We start from the raw sequence: 22930 nt of genomic DNA, 5'->3' as shown, positions 1-22930 counted from the left end.
CAAATTTCAAGTAATTTCTCACAGTCCTTTTCTCTGCTTAATTTTATGATAATACTAATTATTTTAAAGCTCTGTTTTAAAGAATAATGGGATAAGAGAAACGGGGATTTCAAAAGTGAAAGTTGGTAGTTTATGCAATTAGAAGATGACATATTTCTTGAAAAATCACAGCGGAGGTACATTGCTTAGCTAAAAACTCTTAGATTGGGTCCAATATTATTTTTAAATATTTCATTTTTAAATTTTCATTCTAGATAGTTTTCTAGGTGCTTTAATTAAGTATACAGTTGCTTAACCTAGGGCTCTTAAACAGGCTTTAAGAGAGTTCAGGAAATACCCCAAATTGTATTTAAAATGGTGTATGAGCTTGTGAAGAGTTAACAACATTATTAAGAATTTCAAACTTCATTCACAGTCCTAGTCTAAAAACAAACAATTTTTCTAAAAATTACAAATCACTTATTTGAGAGAAGCTTTCATTCACAAGTCCATTATTCACCTTTCCAAATTGATTATAAAATTAATTAAACCCTTACTTCAGCTTTATTCTTTGGTTGGTTGGTTGGTTTTTTTGTTTGTTTTTTACTAGGTTCTCCTCCCCACCCACCATCCCATGCGTTTGATTCATTTTGGCAGTTAGTCTGAGGAGGGAAGTACTTAAACTTAGTGGCTAATTTTGCTATCTTTCAAATGCCTTTAGATAAAAGCTTGGTTGTAAATTCAGTAGTTTGAAGTTGTAAACTAAAGTCACTTTTCTTTCTTGTGTGTAGATATCAATTAAATGTGATTTCCGTTCCCCCCACATATAATCAAAGAGTAGCTGCTATTTAAATGTGGCAACTCACATATGGGATCAGAACAGTCATCTAAAAAAAAAATTCTCCTCTTCTAAAACCAAGGGTACATCTTGTAACTTTTAATTTCAGATTTTACATTTTTAACAAAAAATGTGATGAGATGTGGGAAGATTATCATTTGATATCAGGAGGCAACATAGAGAAGTAGAAGTATAATTAGGAGGCATTCCTTGAAGATTTGTACAGTAACTAGTGTATGATCAATCCAGGATTTTTTTTTAATGAAAGAAAGAAAGAAAAAGAAACTGAGTATAAACCTGATTTAATCAATTTAGAGCTGTTTTAGTGAGCTTGTTCCCCAAGCATTAGAAATGCTGATGGAGCTACAGTGGATATATTTGGTTATGTACCAGGATGGGTATGAGGAGACCGGGGACTTAACCCCCAGCTCTGTTCCTGACTCATTGAGTGACCTCAAGCCAGTTAACCCATCTGTTGTTTTTCAGAAGGTGATGACTTGGAGACTGCCTAGCAATTGCTGTGCATTAATAGGGTGACAGTCAGAGGAAGACGCCTGGGGCAGGAGAGCTTCGGTGTGAGGAAATCAGCCTTTGCTGCTCTGCCCAATCATGTCAGCACTGCTGCTCTTTCAAGAGGCTTCCTGCCATTGTTGTTCCAGCTCCGGAATACCTCATGCTGCCAAAGCCACTGCAGGGGGTCACCTTTAACAGACAACCTCATTTTCAAATTTCCAGACCACTAAATCAAATGAACCAGAGCAAGGGTAATTTTTTTAAGGTTGCCAAAGAGATGCATGGAAAAGATGCCTATGTTGGGAAGAGAGAATTACAGAAGGAGTCTTGCTTTGTGATGATTGGAAAAGAAAGTAGATCAGAAAGCAGCTTCATGAGTTTGGGAATTATTTAGATTTTAAATTGTGTTTTGCTCTACATCAAATTGGATTAGAATCCTTGAATCTTATAAGACTTTGATCCAACCATTTCACATTTACAAATTAAAAAGGAGCTTTGGCAGTGAAAATTATATAAGATACAACCAGAAAGATTTGAGGAGCATACAGGCAGATTTAGCCTAAAAGCCCATCCACTTGTGCAATGTCTCATACCAACGTGTTTGTACTTTAAGAAAATGTACTCAATTTCTATTATGCTAAACATTCATCAATAGAGAGACATGCAGTCATAAAATTCTGTATATCTATCTTCCTTTATACTGTATCATGTTTCTAAATCCAATAATAACTTTTTTCACTGAAGCTGATGTCCTTAAATTTTGGGGTACTAAAAGTGTGGTATAAATGCTGACCAGTTAAAAAATTAAACAAATTTTAACCAAAGGTAAAATAAATGAGCCGTATCATATATTTGGTAATCTAACATGTCCATCACAACTAGACCCACACAAAATAACCATGCAGAAGTGAAAGCAATGAGCAAGAGAGAAAGGGGACTGCACTTTCAAATCTAAAATTTAGACAACCATAAATTTGGCTGTGTAGGAATGTTAAAGAGAAAAAGCAACTGATCACCTTATATGTAAGCAAGAAGGCTGAGCCAAATATCATCCATTCAAACTATATAGACTAAATCAGGCATCCCGTAAGAAAAAAAGGATCATCAGCTACACACAAGCACCATCCTTCAGCACAGTACATTCCAACAACTTCCCAAGGCTGCCATGTGTGTGCAGAGCTTCATCAATAGGGTTTGAAAAGCACTGCTATTCTCCAGATAGTGCTCACTACATGAACGCTAACATAAATCAAAAATACTGGCGTGTGTTCCCTGTAGTCACTACTGCTTAATCCGCTTACTCTAACCCTTCCCACCTTCACACAGGGTCATCTCTCCATGTAACCAACATATTCCCCCTTTCAAAAATCTTTTCTTTCATGAAGGTTTATAAATGCTTTATTGATTTTTCCACACAAGGCCAGTCAACTTCTGACTTCACAAGAAGAATCAAATAAAGTGGCTGAACCCACTGCAGTTTCCCTACCTACATAACTAAAGTACCACAACCCAGTAAATTTTTGTTCTACTAACTGACCTGGTCATAAAGCAGCCACCATCCGTCTAACTACAAAGTTAGAAGTCCACTGGCCAAATAACTTCATGGCTGGCATGATTATCAGTCTCAGTCCTATGTCTAGAAAAATAAAATCTTGACCCAGCTTTTAATATCTGATTAACTTTTCAACAAGCCAGTTAGTCAAAAAAGACTGTCATTGATATCACTTGCATTTTTAAACAAATTAGAATTGTTTATGAACTTCAAAATATTCTGGTTCCTAATTTAATTAATAATTTTTCAGCAATTTTTGAGAAAATGTTTATTTTTTATTATTATAGGTTATTAAAATAATATGCCACTTCGTAGGTTCCTTATTTTATTTATACTGTTTATACTATTCATCCGTAATTCCTTCTGTCTCCACTTTCTTTCTTTGAACACAACTAAGCATTTTGCATCTAAATTTTCCTGCTTCAAAAATTGAATAGCATAATTCAAAAAAATACACAAATCTACACTACACAAACACACACACACACACGTATACATATATACATATTTCTTCTCTACTTAAAAGTACAGAGGTTGATAAAACTGTCATTGGCATTAGTAAGGTTTCACAGAAAATAAAAAGTGGGAACAATTAATAAAAGTGGCATTTTTAAAATTACATCAAATTTTAAACCAGGGAAGATTAATAAACATTAAAAATTTGCTCTTATAATTTATCTCCTTAAAAGGTATTTTTTATTTTTTAACGTTTTTCTTTTAATGTGATTTATACACAAGAAAACTCCTCCATGTTACACAGACACTTTGATGAGTTTTGAAAAAATGTATACACACATGTAAACATCACGAGAATCATGAACCAGAACATTCCCTGCACCCTGAAGTTTTGTCTCATGTGTCTCTTTGTCATCAATTCACTCCTCCCACCCTGACCCTTGGCAACCAATGATCTGCTTTCTGTTATTACAATATTTCTTTTTCTAGAATTTCACATAAATGGAATCATACAGTATGCAATCCTTTGTGTCCAGCTTTTTTTAACTCAGTGTAAAGCTTTTGGGATTCATCCATGCTGTTGGCTGTATAAGTAGTTCACTCATTTTCATTGCCAAGAAGTATTTCATTATATGAATATAACACAATTTGTTCCATCCATTCACATATAAGTTGTTTACAGCTGTTGACCATTATAAATAAAGCTGCTATGAACATTTGAGTATAAATGTTTATATTGATATATATGTTCATATCTCTTGAGTAAATGCCTAGCAGTGGAATTTCTGGGCTATATGTAAGTGTATGTTCAATTTTATAAGAAATTACCAAACTGTTTTCTATAGTCCTTCTGCCATTTTGTCTTCCCACAGCAATGAATGAGATATATAGCTGATCTGTACTTTCACCAACACTTGGTAGAGTCAGTCTTTTCAATTTAGCAAATCTGGTAGTAGTAATATCTCATTTTATTGAGGTGTAATTTACATAATTTACAGCTTAATAATTTTTAGTTAATTTATACGCCATGGAATTATCATCAATATTCAATTTTAGAACAGTTTCATCACCTCAAAAGTTTCCTTATATTTGTTTGCAATCAATCCCCACTCCCACCACTAGCCCCAGGCAAACATTAATCTCCTTTATCTTTATATAGTTTTGAAATTTCTAAACATTTCTTATAAATAAAATCATATAAGGTGTAGTCCTTTGTATCTGGCTACTTTGACTTAGCATAATGTGTGTGAGGTCTGTTTATGATGTAGCATGTATCAATAGTCTATTCCATTTTATTTTGAATTATATTTAAATATATGTATATACCATATTTTATTTATTCATTCACCAATTGGTACACATTTGGATTATTTCAGTGTAAGGTCTTTACGAATAATGCTGCTACAGGCTGAGTAACCTTTATCATAAAATGCTTGGGCCCAGAAGTATTTTGGATTTTGGACTTAGGATTTTTTTCAGATTTTGTAATATTTGCATTATTTACTGGTTCAGCATCCCTAATTTGAAATCTAAAATGCTTAAATTAGTATTTCCTTAAAGTATCATGTCAACACTCAAAAAGTTAAAATTTTGGAACATTTTGGACTTCAGACTTTTGGATTATGAATGCTCAACCTGTACAAACAGTTACATACAAGTGTTTGTGTGAACCTGTTTTCATTTATCCTGAGAGGCTAACTAGGAGTAAAATTGCTGGGTCATATGGTAAAGGTCATTTTGACTTTTTAATAAACTGCCTAACTGTTTTCCATTTCCAACCACAATGTATAAGGGTCTCAATTGCTCCACATCATCACTAACCCAGGCATTTTCAGTCTTGGGTTACAACTCTTCTATTAAGTGTGTAATGATATCACACTGTGGTTCTAATTTGCATTTCAGTAATGACTAACGATATCGAGCATCTTTCATGTGCTTGTTAGCCAATCATATTTGTGTTGTTATTACAATGTATATTTAAATATTTATATTCCACATTGTATTATAAAACATAACATCATTTTATACCCCATAAATATATACAATTATAATTTGTCAATTAATTAAAAATAAAAACTAAACAAATAAAATAACATCCATTTTTTAAATTGGATTGTCACCTTTTTAATATATTTTTGATAGAAGTCCTTTATTAGATATAGAACTTGCAAATATTTTCTCTAATATGGCTTGACTTTTGAAGGACAAAATATTTTAATTTTGTTAAAATCAAATTTATTGATTTTGTTATGTATGAATCAGACTTTTGGTGTCATATCTAAGAAATCATTGCTTAACCCAGAATTTCTTAATAGTGGAACTAAGTTAAATGCCTCCTTTAAAAAAAATCAACATTCTTTTAAGGAATATAACAGAATTCAGAGTCTCCACAACATTATATTCAAAAAACCATAAATTCAAAAAACATTATATTCAAAAAAATCGAATTTAATTTGACATAGGAAGAATAAAAAAAATGTGATCCATTTTCAAGGGAAGGGAGTAGCAGTGAGACCAATTCTGAGATGATCTAGATATTGGAATTTTCAGGCAAGTTTAAACAAACAATTATATCAATGATCTAAAGGAAAATCTGCCTGCAATGAAGGAAAATAGAAAAAATACTTTTTATCAAATATGTTTTTAATTGACAAGTAAAAATTACACATATTTGTAATTTTTACAAATTACAAATGCATACAACATGGTGATTTGGTATAGATATACATTGTGGAGTAGCTAAATCAAGATAATTAACATACGTATCACCTTACATACTTATCACTTTTTTTTGGTGAGGACAGTTAAAATTTACCTTCTTAGCAATTTTCAAATATACAATATATGGTTATTAACTGTAGTCATCATGACGTAAAATACATTTCTTGAAATTATTCCCTCTGTCTAAGTGGAATTTTGTGACCTTTTACCAACAGCTCCCCAACCACTCTCACCAGCCTCAAGTAAACAATCACCACTTTACTCTCTGTCTCTATGAGGTTGACTTTTTTACATTCCACCTATAAGTTAGTGTGGATATATCTTTATGTGCTTGGCTTATTTCACTTAACATAATATCTTCCAGGTTCATCCACATTTTTGCAAATGACAGGATTTCCTTCTCTTTAAGGCTGAATAATATTCCACTGTGTGTACATAATACTTTTCTTTACCCATTCATCAGTTAATGAACACTAAGTTTGATTCTGTATCTTGGCTATTGTAAATAATGTTCCAGTGAGCACTAGAGTGCAGATTTCTCTTTAATATACTTATTTCATAATCTTCGGATAAATACCCAATAGTGGGATTGCTAGATCATAGAGTAGTTTTATTTTTAATTTTTTAGGAGCCTCAATACTGTTTTCCAGAAAGGCTGTACTAGTTTACATTCCCACCACCAACAGCATGCATGGTTCCCTTTTTGCCACATTCTTGCTGACACTGTTTATCTTTCATCTTTTTGATAGTAGCCTTTCTGACAGGTGTGAGTGATGTCTCATTGTGGTTTTAATTTGCATTTCCATGATTATTAGTGATGCTGAGCATTTTTTCATACATCTATTGGCCACTTGTATGTCTTCTTTTGAGAAATATCTATTCGAGTTCTTTGTCAATTTTTTAATCTGAATATTTGTTTTCTTGCTATTGACTTGAGTTCCTTATATACTTTGTATATTAACACCTTAACAGATGTATGGTTTGCAAGTATTTTCTCTCATTCTGTAGGTTTTTCTCTTTAATTTGTTGATTATTTCCTTAGCTGTGCAGAAGATTTTTAGTTTTATGTAATCCTTTGTTTTGTTGCCTGTGTTTTTAGGGTTATATCCAAGAAAATATCTGCCCAGACCAACATCATGGAGTTTTTCCACTGTTTTCTTGTGGAAACAAAAACTAGTTTTAGTTTCAGATCTTATGTTTAATTCCTTAGTCAATTTTAGTTGATATTTTTAGATGCTGTAAGATAAGAATCCAATTTCATTCTTCTGCATGTGGATACCCAGTTCTCACAGCACTATGTATTCATTTATTGAAGACATTCTCATTTCCCCATTGTGTGCTCTTGGCACTTTTTTGAAGATCTGTTAACAATAGATTTGTGGATTTATTTCCAGGTTCTCTAAATTCTTCCATTGGTCTATGTGCTGTTTTCGTACTAGTACCATGCTATTTTGATTTCTATAGCTTTGTAGTACATTTTGAAATCAGTTAGTGTGATGCCTCTGGTTTTGTTCTTTTTACTAAAGATTGCTTTGGCTATTTGTGGCCTTTTGTAGTTCAATACAAATTTTAGAAGTTTTTTTTCTATTTCTGTGAAAAGTATCTTTGACTTTCGATAGTGATTGCCTTGAATTTGCAGATCATTTGGGGTTGTATGAACATTTTAACAAGAGCAATTCTTCCAATCCATGAACATTGAATATATTTCCATTTATTTGTGTCTCATTCAACGTTTTTCATCAATGTTTTATAATTTTCAGTGTACAGATCTTCACTGGCTTAGTTAAGTTTATTCCTAAGTATGTTATTTTTGTAGCTATTGTAAATGGGATTTTTCTTTATTTCTTTTTCAAATAGTTTGTTGTCAGTGAACAGAAATACTACTCATTCTCATGTGTTGATTTTGTATCTTGCAACTTTACTGTAATCACTTACTAGCTCTACGAATTTTGGTGGGGAGTCCTTAGGGTTTATTATACATAGGATCATGTGGTCCGCAGAAACAATTTAACTTCTTTCTTTCCAATCTGGATGTCTTTTATCCTGAAGAATTTTCTCTGTGGTCTTAATATGAAAGGGTGTTCTGCTGCTGTTGAGCAGAATGATCTGCTCAGGCCATTGGTATACAGAGTAGTTCAAGTCCAATGTTTCCATATATATATATATATATATGGAAACATATATATATATAGAAACATATATATATATATATATATATATATACACACACACACACACACAATTATTATATCTTCTTCTTTTTTTAGTATACTTTAAGTTTTAGGGTACATGTGCACAACGTGCAGGTTAGTTAAATATGTATACATGTGCCACGTTGGTGTGCTGCACCCAGTAACTCGTCATTTAACATTAGGTATATTTCCAAATGCTATCCCTCCCTGCTCCCCCCACCCCACAACAGGCCCCAGTGTGTGATGTTCCTCTTCCTGTGTCCATGTGTTCTCATTGTTCAATTCCCATCTATGAGTGAGAACATGCAGTGTTTGGTTTTTTGTCCTTGCGATAGCTTGCTGAGAATGATGGTTTCCAGCTTCATCCATGTCCCTACAAAGGACAGGAACTCATCATTTTTTATGGCTGCATAGTATTCCATGGTGTATGTGTGCCACATTTTCTTAATCCAGTCTATCACTGTTGGACATTTGGCTTGGTTCCAAGTCTTTGCTATTGTGAATAGTGCCGCAATAAACATACAAGTGCATGTGTCTTTATAGCAGCACAATCAGTTATTAAATAGGGAATCCTTTCCCCATTTCTTGTTTTTGTCAGGTTTGTCAAAGATCAGATGGTTGTAGATATGCAGCATTATTCCTGAGGACTCTCTTCTGTTCCACTGGTCTATATCCCTGTTTTGGTACCAGTACCGTGCTGTTGTGGTTACTGTAGCTTTGTAGTATAGTTTGAAGTCAGGTAGCGTGATGCCTCCAGCTTTGTTCTTTTGGTTTAGGATTGACTTGGCAATGCGGGCTCTTTTTTGGTTCCATATGAACTTTAAAGTAGTTTTTTCCAATTCTGTGAAGAAAGTCATTGGTAGCTTGATGGGGATGGCATTGAATCTATAAATTACCTTGGGCAGTATGGCCATTTTCACGATATTGATTCTTCCTACCCATGAGCATGGAATGTTCTTCCATTTGTTTGTATCCTCTTTTATTTCATTGAGAAGTGGTTTGTAGTTCTCCTTGAAGAGGTCCTTCACATCCCTTGTAAGTTGGATTCCTAGGTATTTTATTCTCTTTGAAGCAATTGTGAATGGGAGTTCACTCATGACTTGGCCCTCTGTCTGTTATTAGTGTATAAGAATGCTTGTGATTTTTGCACGATTTTGAAAAGTCTTTACCATTATATAACAAAATTTTTGTCTCATTTTAGTTTTTGACTTACAGTCTATTTTATCGGCTGTAAGTAAAGTGGCCTCTGCTCTCTTTTGGTTTCCAATTGCATCAGATATGTTTTTCCATTCTTTCACTTTCACACAATCTATGTGTCTCCTTACTGGTGAAGTGAGTCTTTTGGAGGCAGCATATAGTTAGACCTTGAGGTTTCTTTGTTTGTTTGTTTTGTTTTTGTTTTTGTTTTCACTCAGCCACTTTATGTCTTTTGATTACAGAATTGAATCCATTTACCTTCAAGGTAATTATTGATGGGTAAAGATTTACTAATGCTATTTTGTTAATTTGTTCTGGTTGCTTTGTAGATCTTTTATTTTTCTTCCTCTCTGCTGTTTTCTTTTGAGTTTAGAAGATTTTCTCTAGTGACAGACTTTGATTCCTTACTTTTTATCTTTGATGTGTCTACTATAGGTTTTTGTTTTGCAGTTACCATGAAGCTTACATAAACATCTTATAGCTACAACAGGCTATTTTAAGCTGATAACAACTTAACTTTGATCACATAAAACAACAACACTTTTACTCCATCTTCATGCACACATTTTATGTTTTTGATATCACAATTCACATCGTTTTATATTGTGTAACCGTTGACAAATTATAGCTATTAATATTTTAACAGTTTGTCTTTTAACTTTTACACCAAAGATATAAGTGATTTACACACTATACAGTACTAGAGTATTCTGAATTTGACTTATTTTTATCAGTGAGTTTTATACTTTTTTTTTTTGTATTACCAATTAATGTCCTTTTCTTCCAGCTTGAAGAACTTTTTTTTTTTTTGAGACGGAGTCTCACTCTGTCACCCAGGCTGCAGTGCAGTGGCGCAATCTTGGCTCACTGCAACGTCCACCTCCCAGGTTCAAGCGATTCTCCTGCCTCAGCTCCCCGAGTAGCTGGGATTACAGGCGAGTGCCACCATGCCCAGCTAATTTTTTGTATTTTTAGTAGAGATGGCGTTTCACCATGTTAGCCAGGATGGTCTCAACCTCCTGATCTTGTGATCTGCCTGCCTTGGCCTCCCAAAGTGCTGGGATTACAGGCGTGAGCCACCGTGCCTGGCCTGAAGAACATTTTTTAAGCATTTCTTGTAAGACAGATCTGCTGGCAATGAATTCTTTCAGCTTTTCTTTGTCTAGGAAAGCCCTTACCTCTCTTTCATTTCTGAAGGACAACTTTTCCAGGCACAGTATATTTGGTTAGCAGGGTTTTTTTTTTCCTAGCACTTTGAATGTATCATCCCACTCTCTCCTCATCTGTTAAGTTTTTCCTATAAAATCCACTGCTAAAAATCTTGAAAGTCCCTTATATGTTACTTGCTTTCTCTTCTTTTGCTGCTTTTAGGATCCTCTCCTTTTCATATTTGACAATTTTGTTATATAATATGTCTTGATGTAGTCTTTTTGGGGTTGAGTCTGCCTGGAGACATTTGACCTTCCAGTACCTGGTAATAGATATATAGATAAATAGATGTCTATTTCCAGGTACAGGATTTATTTCCAGGTACAGGAAAGAGATATGCCTATATATCTATATACATATAGATATAGATACATCTATTTCCAGGTACAGGAAGGTCAAATGTGTGTGTATGTATATATACATATATACATACACACACACACACATATATATATACATATATATACACATATATATACACATTTGAAAGACACATATATATATATATCTTTCCCAAAATCTAAAAAGTTTTCACCTATTCCTTCTTTAAGCTGTATCCATTTATCTTTTTCTTCTCTTTCATTAACTTTTAAAACTCAAATGTTTGCTATTTTCATACTATCCCATAAATCCCATAAGCTTTCTTCATTCTTTTTGATCTTCTTTTCTCTCCTCTGATTATATATCTTCAAATATCTGGCCTTTGAGTTCACAGAATATTTCTCCTGCTTGATTGAGTCTGCTGCTGATGCTCTCTATTGCATTTTTTTACTTTATTCATTGTATTTTTAAGCTCTTGAGTTCCTTTTTTAAAATAACTTTAATCTCTCTGTTAAATTTCTCATTTGATCATTTATTGTTTCCCTAATTTCACTGAATTGTTTCTCTGTATTTTCTTGTAGTTCACTGAGCTTCCTTAAAAGAACTATTTTGAATTCTTCCTCACCCATTTCATATATCTCCATTTCTTTGTGGTTAACTACTGGGAGATTATTGTGTTCTTTTGGCAATGCTATATCTTTTTGGTTTTTCATGTTTCTTGCTGCTTTATATTGATGTCTGTGCATTTGATAGAGCAGTAACCACTTGCAGTCTTTACAGGCTAGCTCTCCTATGGAGAGACCTTCCCCTTTGGGGAGTATGAGGGCACTTGCTGGGTGGAGTGCAGCAGTTCTGGTACCAGTGTGGGTATCAGCTGTGTAGTCTCTGTGCAGCTCTGTCAGCTGAAGTCAGTGTTGATAAATATTGCAGGGATCCTCAGCAGCCAATATGTGGATATTTGCAGTGATAGCAAGTGCTATTGGGGTCTTTGGTGGTGATGGCTGCTAAGGTCATCACAATTTCTTTTTCTCTCACCAGGGAAGTTGTGGTCAGGGGATCCCTCTTGGTACTATGCCTGGATCATAAGCTTGCTAGCAGTCACGGTGGAACTGGTGTCTTATGAATGGCACCCCTGCAAGAGCCACAGAGCTGAGGTCTGAAGCTCAGGCATGAATGGAGGAATTATGACTCTGGGATTGAGCAAGTAATGGCATTGATAACCAGGGAACAGGCATCTCCACTGCCACATTGGTAACTGAATGTAAGGTACAGATGCTTGTGAAGCAGCCTGGAAAGCCAAGAATGGAAGCACATATATGAACAAAGTTACAGTGGCTCCAGGGTTAGGGTGAGGTCTAGCTCTCTATGGCAGCTGAGTCAGTACCTGAGGCTAAGGCACCTGTATTGCTGCCTTGGCAACCGTAGCTGAAGCACAGATGCTTATGAAGTAGCCAGGTAGTCAAAATGTATGCACATAGATGTGTGCACAATTAGTGCAACTCCAGGGTCAAGGCAGGGTCTAGCTCTCTGTAGTAGCTAGGCTGGCACCCAGGACATGGTCAGGTGCATCAGGGCTTGGCTCTAGGGTGTAGAGGGTGAAATAGCTCAATATGACAATGGTCCCAGTGTCTAAGCTGTGAGTGGATTCAGTGTAGCTGCAGAACCCTGGTCTGGAGTGTGAGCACTTGCAGAACAGCCATGGTCTAGCATCAAAGCACACATGGGATGAGAGAGGCAGTGACTCCTTTCCCAAAGCAGCTCAACAGTGGCCACTTCTTGGGCAGGAAAGGGATGTGCAACCATCATCTCCCTTTTGGGGGTTCCCAGTAGGAATAGCTCTTGGTTACCTGAGTGGCAAGACATCCTTGTGTTCTTAGTGGAGTAGGCTGATGGGGACCATGGTGGTTCCCACCCTGTAGCTAATAGTGATAATCTGCTTTTCTATTCTTTGCTCCTAGCTGTTTCCTGGTATCTCAGGTATGCCAGTCTCATTTTTATTCTTTGCTCCTAGCTGTTTCCTGGTATCTCAGGTATGCCAGTCTCATTTTTATTCTTTGCTCCTAGCTGTTTCCTGGTATCTCAGGTATGCCAGTCTCATCAACAATACTTTCTATGTGGATATTCTCCTTTGTTGTTGTTTGTTTATTTGTTCCACTCTATTGCCTCAGATCTTTTAATGTGAACTTGAGCCTCTTTGGGCTATTTCTGTTTGTGAATAGCTGTCTATATTTGGTTTTGTGTGGGGGTATGAAGGCTAGTATCCCCTACTCTGCCATCTGGGTGACATCACTCAAGAAATTATACTTTTAAAATTGAAAATTTAAAACTGAAAAGCACAAAATCTGATTTTAAAATGTTACTAGAGGCTGGGCACAGTGGCTCACACCTGTAATCTCAGCACTTTGGGAGTCCGAGGCGGGCAGATGACGAGATCAGGAGTTCAAGAGCAGCCTGGCCAATATGGTGAAACCCCATCTCTACTAAAAATACAAAAATAAAAAAATGAATAAATAAATAAATAATAAAGCTGGGCATGGTGTCACATGCCTGTAGTCCCAGCTACTTGGGAGGCTGAGGCAGGAGAATCACTTGAACCTGGGAGGTGGAGGTTGCAGGGAGCCAAGATCACGCCACTGCACTCCAGCCTGGGCAACAGAGCGACACTCCATCTCAAAAACAAACAAATAAAAAAAAGTTAATAGATAGGCTTATAAGAAGAGTAGAGATGTCAGTGGAAAGAGTGAACCTGCAGATAAGACAATAGAAACTATCCAAATGAAGAAGAAAGAGGGAAAAAAGATTGAAAACAGATGGAACAACACTTCAGGGACCTGTGGAATACTAACAAAATGTCTAACTGGGACGGTATGGTTTGGATGTTATGTCTCCTCCAAATCTCATATTGAAATGTGACCTCCAGTGTTGGAGGTGGGCCTATTGGGAGGTGTTTGGGTCATGGAGTCAGATCAATCATGAATTGCTTGGTGCTTTCCTCATGGTAGAGTTCTCACTCTATAAGCTTATGTGAGATCTGGTTGTTTAAGAGCCAGGCACCTACCCCATTTTCTCTTGCTCCCTCTCTCATCACATGATATGCCAGCTCCCCTTCACCTTCTGCAATGATTGTAAGCTTCCTGAGACCCTAACCAGAAGCAGATGCCAGCACTATGCTTTGTGCACAGCCTACAAAACCATGATTCCAATAAACCTCTTTTTAAAATAAATTATCCAGTCTCAGATATTTCTTTATAGCAATGCAAAACTGACTAACACAAGGGTTATGTGGAGTCCCAGAAAGAGAAGAGGGAATGGTAGAGATAATATATTTGAAAAAATATTGGCCAAAAACTTCCTAAATTTGTGAAAAACATAAATATTCAAATTCAATTATTTCAACATACCAAACAGAATAAATATGAAATTAATAATGCATAGGCATACATAGTCAAACTGGTGGGAACCAAATACAAAGATAAATTCTTAAAAACAGAAGAAACAACACATTGGATACAGAATTCAAATAACTGCCGTGTTTCATCAGAAACAAAAACTGCCTAAGAAAGTAGAACATATTTAAAGTGCATAAAGAAAAAAAAAAACTGTCAAACTGAACTTTTATATGCAGAAAAAAAATCCTTCAAAAATACAGGCAAAATAAAAACACTTTTAGATAAGAGAAGACTAGGAGTATTTATTACTAGAAAGACCTACATTGCCAGAAATGCTAAAGAAAGTTCTTCAGGCTGAAGGAAAATAATACTAGATAGAAACTTGGATCTTTAGGAAGGAATGAGGAAAATGATAAATATCTGGGTAAATACAAAAGACTACTTTTTCGTTTTAATTTATTTATCACATATTGTTTAAATCTGTGTTTAAACTGTAGGGTTTATAACATATGCAGATAAATGACATACGAAAATTACAGAATAAAAGAAGGTGGGAATTGGTAAAGGGGCCTATATAGTTGAAACATTTCTATTATGTTGGTGCAAAACCAATGGCAAAACAACAATCACTTTTGCACCAACCTAATACATTTTACTTTGATTTAAAAAAATTAACACTAATTAAAGTGTGGAAAATTATGATTGTATATTGTAACACCTGTAGTAACCACTAAAATACATATAACACAAAAGAGCATAGCCAAAAAGCCAAGTATAAAACATAATTCTAAAAATTCTAAACATATTTGTGAAATCTAGAATAAGACAGCAAAGGAGAAAAAAAGAAATGAAAAACAGAGAAAGAAAAAGCAAAAATAAAATTTTTACATAATAGACCTAAATAAAAAAATATTAATAATTACATTAACAATAAGTGGATTAATAATTCCAATTTAAAAGTAGAGATCATCAGACATTAAAAAAGCAAGACTCTATGTTATTTGCATAAGATGGATTTTAAATATAAAGACATGGATAGTTTAAATATATGGAAAAAGAAATTGAAACAGTAATTATAGCATTGCTAGATTGTCTATCATAGCAGCTTTATTTATAATAGAGCAAAACTAGAAAGCCAACATTCTGTCAACAGAGAACTGGATAAACAAACCAAGATTCATTCATACAATGGAATAATACCTGGCAATAAAAAATAACTAACTATTGATAATATCCAATAGCATGGATACATCTCAAAAACATTGTGCTGAGGGAAAGAAGCTTCACACAAAACAGAACATACTGTTTGATTCAATTTATATTCAGCTCTAGAACAGGAAAAACTAACTAGTGGTAAAAAATATCAAAACAGTGGGGCCGGGTGCAGTGGCTCATGTCTGTAATCCCAGCACTTGGGGAGGCCAAGGCCGGCAGATCACTTGAGGTCAGGAGTTTGGGACCAGCCTGGCCAACATAGCAAACCCCCTCTCTACTAAAAATACAAAAAAAAAAAAAAAAAAAAAAAAAAAAGCCAGTTGTGGTGGTGTGCATCTGTAATCCCAGCTACTGGGAAGGCTGAGGCAGAAGAATCACTTGAACCCGGGAGACAGAGGTTACAGTGAGCTGAGATCACGTCACTGCACTCCAGCCTGAGTGACATAGTGAGACTTCATCTCAAAAAAAAAAAAATGTGGTTATTTCTGGGTGGTTTGGGGCAAGAATTGACTGAGAAGGATCATGAGAGAATTTTCTGGGGAGATGGTAGTATTCTGTAGCAAAGTCACGGTGGTGGTTACACAGGTAGATGGAACTGTCAAAACTTGATGAAAGTACACTTTTTATAAGTATATTTCATTGCATGCAAATTTTACATCAAAAGAAAAAATGTAAAAAATATTGAATACTCCTTTGTGATATGCATGCTAAGTGTTCAGGGGAAAGTGTATTAATATCTGCACTTTCATTGGAAATGCAACCAAAAATAGATATATTGAGGAATGTAGGAATAACTAGATGAATAGATATGCAACAAAGCAATATAGTAAAATGTTAATAGCAGAATCCAGATAGTAGTTTATACAATCATCACTGTAAGATTTTTCAGCTTTTCCATGTTTACAATTTTTCTTACCAAAAGTTGAAAAAAAAATACGTATTAAAATAAAAGGAGTAGAAATGAGGGACAGAAAAACACAAGCAGCTTAACCGTGTCTGGTTCATTCTTTAAAATAAAGATACAAAATGTCTGGAAGGAAACAGAGCAAAACATTATGATTTTAAGGATTACAGTGCAAGGATCCCACTAATACTTCTCTGTATGCTTGAAATATTTCAAAATTTAATTTTTTATAGAATATAAGTAGAAAAAAATACAATGCAGAAGATTATAAAGGGCAATGGACTGAGTCACAGAACCCTGGCACTTTCATCTCCACTCAGTTATTGACCGTGGGTCTGGTACAAATGACAAAAAAAGTCTCTGGTCCTCAGTTTCCTCATTTGTAAAGTAAGAAGTTTGCACTGGGTGATCTTTTACAGATTCATTTGATTTCTACAATTCTATAAATCTAAAACAGACAAAAGTAATAAAAAGTGCAATTTTAAGAAATTCCTCCTGAGAAAATGTTAAGCATGATCCAAAAATATTCAAAAAGTTAATTATGCAAGTGGTCAAGGAATTAATATGTGCATAAGAGAACTATGACCTTTATGCTTTTATTCAACCTAAACTCAATAAAGTAATATATTAGTAGAGGGGAAATCATATCACTAAAAACCCCAAAGCCAGGAAAAGGCAGCAAATTTAGTTTTTAAGATCTGATTCATGATATTTATTCTTCCAATAACATGGGGCCTTCAGAACTGCATTTTAAGCCTTATTTCTTCATTCCTATAAAATGAGGGTGAGAATCAATGACCATTAAGGATGCCGTCAACGCTAAGATTCTGTTATTATAATTCTATTTGGATTAGATATAAGTGAAAGTGTATTATTAAACTTTTACCTATCCTCCCATAACACTATCACTTCTACCTAACCATCATAGTTAGCAGGAAGGTGAAGAATTCACTCTGTAAAATCTTTGCTAAATATTGTGACTTTTTGAGAGCCACAGCTGAGTACGGTCATTAACAATCCCTACCAGACAGCTACCCAGAATTGATGTTGCTAATGTATTGTACACAGTAGACAAATTAATCTCACAGAACTATTGGGATTACAATTTCAATGTAGCATTTAGAGATGTAAACACAGGGTATTCCTGGAAAGCACACTGCATGCTGCCATGTTGCCTATTATAGCATCATCTCTTGGGAGCCAACATCATATCACAATAGTACATAAAAAGGGCATGCAGACATCATTGTAACAAAGAAAAGACAGAGATGGAAAAGAGAAACTGATGTACTTAATATCCATAAGTACCTGCTACTTGGTAATTCCATATCCCTTTATGGAATTGACCCTACTGAGCTTAAAACACTGTTTTTGGTTATCAACTAAGTTGGACATAAAAGAACTGTCTTTCTGGCCACAAGATAAAACTTTTATCCTCAAAAAAAAAAAAAAAAACGGTGAGAAGAGGGGGAGATTTTTATCATAGTAAAGATGTTGCAGACAAGTTGCATAGATAAACTTGAAGAGATAAAAATCTCTTATCTGCAACATCTTTACAATTATATTCTTTAGGAAAGAACGTCTGAAATGTAACAACTACTGCTACTTCTCAAAATAGATAAACAGGCAGATTTTCCCCCTTAGAGTGAGGCTATTTCCAATCATTTCTTATTTTGTGAACATCTTATTTTGAGTCAAAAGTTAGTTACTAAATCCCATTTTGTAGGGCAACATTTCTTACCTGACAAAAAAGTCTTTAGAGTTTTTAACATCATCTCCTTTATCAAAAATTAAAATATATGTCCATGAAGAAATGTATCTGCTTTGAAATACAATGCTGTATTGAAGCTTTTGCTTTTTAATTAGATTGAGAGCACTTTCCTGTTTCTCTTCCCTCTTTATCACTTTCTTTAGTTCATCTTTCTTTATTCTTGTTATTTGATTTTTCCCCTTCTTATACCTAATGTGTATTATTTCTCAATGCCCTAATGTGGTTAACACTTAAGTCTTTCTCAATGAGGTCTAAAAGGAAATATGTCCTATTGGATTCTGTCTTGCCAAAAAGCTTTTGTTAGGGAAGCTAAGGAAGAAATAAAGGGACATAAAGAAACAAATCTATTTTTGTCATTATGTATCTGAAAGTAACCTGCCAACTAGAAGAAAACTTGCTTAGTGTTATAGTATAACTAATTATGCTTAAGTTTAAACTGGAATCTCTAATGTTCAAATAAACCAGTATTATGCCATAGAGACATCCTTCATTTTTAAGAATGGATATAAGCTTCAGGTAGTTGTAAAGTCCACTTACCCATTTTAAACCATAGTTTTATATATGCTGTGAAACCAGAGCTCCATGAAGAATTAATACTGGCTACATGCAATAGATAACATTAGGCAACAATAAGAGGAGTTTCAGGTTTTTGCTTAATTTTATGCATGGCCATCTCTACCAAGTCTAAAGGCATTTCTATAATTTTTGGATGCACCTCTGTATCACTGTTTTTAAACCCCGAGAGACATACATTAGAAAATAGACATTAACTAGAATGACTCAGGGGTAAAATATCTTTTATGAAATATCTTTTTTGTTGTTATTTCTCAAGGAGCAGTCAAAGTCAAATGAGTTGGATCTCCCATAGTCAGGCTGTAAAAGTATAAAAAATAATGTTATTATTTCTGTGGCTTATTTTTCTTTTTCTGAGAGGAAAGGAGGACAAATGCTTTGTATTTCTCATGTAGCTTAAAGCTGGGGATGGTGGTGGGGTCTGGAGATGGATGGAGAACAGCACGGTGACTTCTTTTTAGGAATATTTTGAAGATCATGAGATTTCTGGATTACTCAGAGAAGAGATGAAACTATTGCTTATCTCCTATCCCCACGTCTCATAGGCAAATCCACTTTAAAGAAAGATATTCTGGTTCCTCTAATATGTCAGTGTGTAGGAGATGAGTTCCATTATTCCACACAGAGCTCTTCTAAACTCTCTAAATTCAAATTAATCGTAATAAAGATTATTTATTTATTCCATTACTTTGGAGCAAATAAGACAATAGAATGTGGAAAAAAAGGAGGAGGAGTGCTCAATATCACTGCAGGGCCTGTATATATAGGTAAGGCAGGATAGGAGGGTTGCTAATCAAAATAGGCTTGAGAATTACTTTCTGAGAGAAGTTGCCAAATCCCTTCCATGTTGGTAAACAATCTCATGCTAAACAGCAACTGTCTTCCTGATAAGTTAACATGACCTGATCATCCAAAACTGGTTACCAAAGACCAGGTGTTCTTTGTATCTTACCACGAAGCCAGAATTTGCTGGGAGGTTTTTTTTTTTCGTCTTTTTATCATAATACTGGATTCATCATCATTTTACTAGACATCTTTCTCCTCCCTCCCCACTGTTTTCACAAACAGTTCCAAAAGAGGAACAAACAAATCATTTGAAGAGAGCTAATTATGGATCTGTAAAAAGAATTTAAAAGCTAAACAAACAAGACCATTCTTGGAGACACATGGAACCAAAAAGATAGATTGCTTGAAATGTTGTATTTCCATATTTTAAAGTGAAACTGCTCAATACTATTAATAACAACTTAAATAGGAACACAACAAGAGCATTTACAATCCAATTATATGATTAATGAAAAATAAATTCCTTGATGTCATAAAATTCTATTTTTCAAATAGATGTATGTGTTTCCTGGAAGATAACCATGCCTTCTAAAAAATTTCTTTTCTGAAGCATGGTTTTAACAGTGACTGTTGAAAGAAAATCTGTTTAAAAATTCTAAAGATATAGGTTAGTATGTGAGTTACACTCCACAAATAAACACTAAAGAAAAGACTAAACACATTGCAAGATAAGAGACTCATAATGGGAGAATTAGGCGGCCAAAATGCAAATATAAACATTTCTTTCTTTTCTCCTTCATGTAGGCAAATGAATATGGTTAAATATGAAATTCTCTCAATTTTTCTTGTCTTTCTAGCAAAAGCTCAACTGATTCCTGAGGCATGTGGCTTTGTTCTCAACTGGCAACCCAGAAAAAGTGAACTTTTCAGACTTGTCAGGAAGTACATCTTGAACTCACCACTACCGCACACAAATTAAAAGCTGCATTCATAGAAATGCTATTTGTCAGATGCACAGTTTGCAAATAGTTTCTCTCATTCTGTGGGTTCTCTGTTTACTCTGTTGATAGTTTCTTTTGCTGTGCAGAAGCTCTTAAGTTTAATTAGGTCGCATTAGATCAATTATTTCTTTTGTTGCAATTGCTTTTGGCGTCTTTGTCATAAAATCCTTGCCCCCATTCCTATGTACAGGATGGTGTTGCCTAGGTTGCCTTCCAGGGTCTTTATAGTTTTAGGTTTTGCATTTAAGTCTTTAATCCATCTTGAGTTGATTTTTGTATATGGTATAAGGAAGGGGTCCAGTTTCAATCGTCTGCTTATGGCTAACCAGTTATCCCAGCACAATTTTATTAAATAGGGACCCCTTTCCCCATTGCTTGTTTATTCAGCATCTATAAGGAACTTAAACAAATTTGTAGGAAAAAACAAACCACCCCATTAAAAAGTGGGCAAAAGAATGAACAGACACTTTTCTGAAAAAGACACATGTGGCCAACAAGCATATGAAAAAAAGCTCAATATCACTGATCATTAGAGAAATGCAAATAAAAACCACAATGAGATACCATCTTACATCAGTCAGAATGGCTATTATTTAAAAAATCAAAAAATAACAGAAGCTGGAGAGGTTGTAAAAAAAAAAGGAGGGAACACTTATATACTGTTTGTGGGAGTATAAATTAGGTCAACCATTGTGGAAAGCAGTGTGGCAATTCCTCAAATTGCTGAAAACAGAACCACCATTAGACCCAGCAATTCCACTACTAGGTATATCTGCAGAGGAATATAAATCATTCCACTATAAAGACACATGCATATGAATATTCATTGCAGCACTATTCACAATAGCAAATATGTGGAATCAACCTAAATGCCCATCAATGACAGATTGGATAAACAAAACGTGGTACATACACACCATGAAATACCATGCAGCCACAGAAAAGAATGAGATCATTTCCTTCTCAGGGACATGGATGGAGCTGGAGGCCATTATCCTTAGCAAACTAATGAAGGAACTGAAAACCAAATACAACATGTTCTCACTTATAAGTGGAAGCTAAATGATGAGAACTTATGAACACAAAGAAGGGAACAACAAACACCGGGGCCTACTTGAGAACGGAGGGTAGGAGTAGTGAGAGGAGCCGAAAAAATAACTAATGGGTACCAGGCTTAGTACCTGGGTGATGAAATAATCTGTACATCGACCCCTCATGGCATGAGTTTACCTATGTAACAAACCTGCACATGTACCTCCAAACCTAAAATAAATTTTATTTTAAAAAAGAAGTGCCATTTGTATACAGCTGCCTACATTGTATGTAGCTCCAGTTTTTGTGATATCTACCTGATGATTAGGTTAGACTACGAGACCTAAGCTGAGTCTTCTCCTTCTCATCACTTGCAGGATTTTTCATCACACACATAACTAATTTGTCGATGTCAGTTTCAGTAAAAAATTGTAAGTTTGATGAGGGCAGGAGGCTATGGCTCTTGCTCACTACTATTCTACTGTTCCATTTCCTGCCTGTTGCAGAATACAGAGGACACATTAAATAGATGACTACTGAATGAATAAACTTTAGACTTGCTTTCACTGACTTTTGCTTTCTCAAGATGCTACAACTAGTTTTTATTATACTTACACGTGTGTTTACCATAGGCTATAGTTAAGAAACATATTTCCTGGGATTACACAGTGTTCTATTACAACCCAGGAGATAAATTTCCTATAAGCCTGAATACCCTGAAATAGTTGCATATCTCCTGAGAAATCTATTTATTCTCTTGATGTTGACTCTGTGTATCTTGGAATTGTTTCCATCTTTGTATTGGCTGCTAGAGAGCTAAAACCTAAATCTGCAGCCCAAGTCTCACAGGCACATAGGGGTTCACAATAGGCATTTGGTTCCACAGTTACTCTTTTCTCCACCCTTCCCTCCTTCTCTGGCTTTCCTTTGGCTTTCATTTCCCTCACTTAGTTTTAAATCTATTTTATGTATCTTTGTAAGTCACCTTAATTTCTTTTTGAAACAAGGTAGGACACAAATAAATTGATTTTTTCCCTTCATGATAGAAGTTATTAACTTTGCTGAAGAGGAGAGTGGGCCAAGGAAGACAAAATATAGACTTCAGCAATGTATGGCTGATTTTAAGAGACCTTGGGGATACCTTGTGAAGAGAAGATACTATTTCTAACCCACATTGTATGGTTTTAGTTTTATGTAGAGCACAAGGCAATTGTACAATGTCAACCCTTTTTATTATGTTATATCATTATGTTAATGCTACAAAATATCTAAAAATTAAAA

General features: G+C 34.9%; 1 long non-coding RNA gene across 1 annotated transcript in view, besides 1 other annotated feature; it reads right to left on the bottom strand.

Moving 5' to 3' along the window:
* LOC101927314 (uncharacterized) overlaps positions 1-22930 on the bottom strand; it is a 403332-nt gene that overhangs the window by 182504 nt on the left and 197898 nt on the right. The window lies entirely within an intron of this gene.
* Positions 1020-1625: an enhancer, noted in NCBI's record as "OCT4-NANOG hESC enhancer chr6:97972665-97973270 (GRCh37/hg19 assembly coordinates)". NCBI's record gives its function as "activates a minimal SCP1, AML or CMV promoter by ChIP-STARR-seq in naive H9 embryonic stem cells {active_cell/tissue: H9 hESC(naive)}" and the evidence as "EXISTENCE:reporter gene assay evidence [ECO:0000049][PMID:30033119]".

The sequence above is a fragment of the Homo sapiens genome, chromosome 6 (assembly GCF_000001405.40).
Source record: "Homo sapiens chromosome 6, GRCh38.p14 Primary Assembly".
Lineage (NCBI taxonomy): Eukaryota > Metazoa > Chordata > Mammalia > Primates > Hominidae > Homo > Homo sapiens.
The sequence above is the reverse complement of the archived record's forward strand: the minus strand, read 5'-3'. Positions and strand labels throughout refer to the sequence as shown.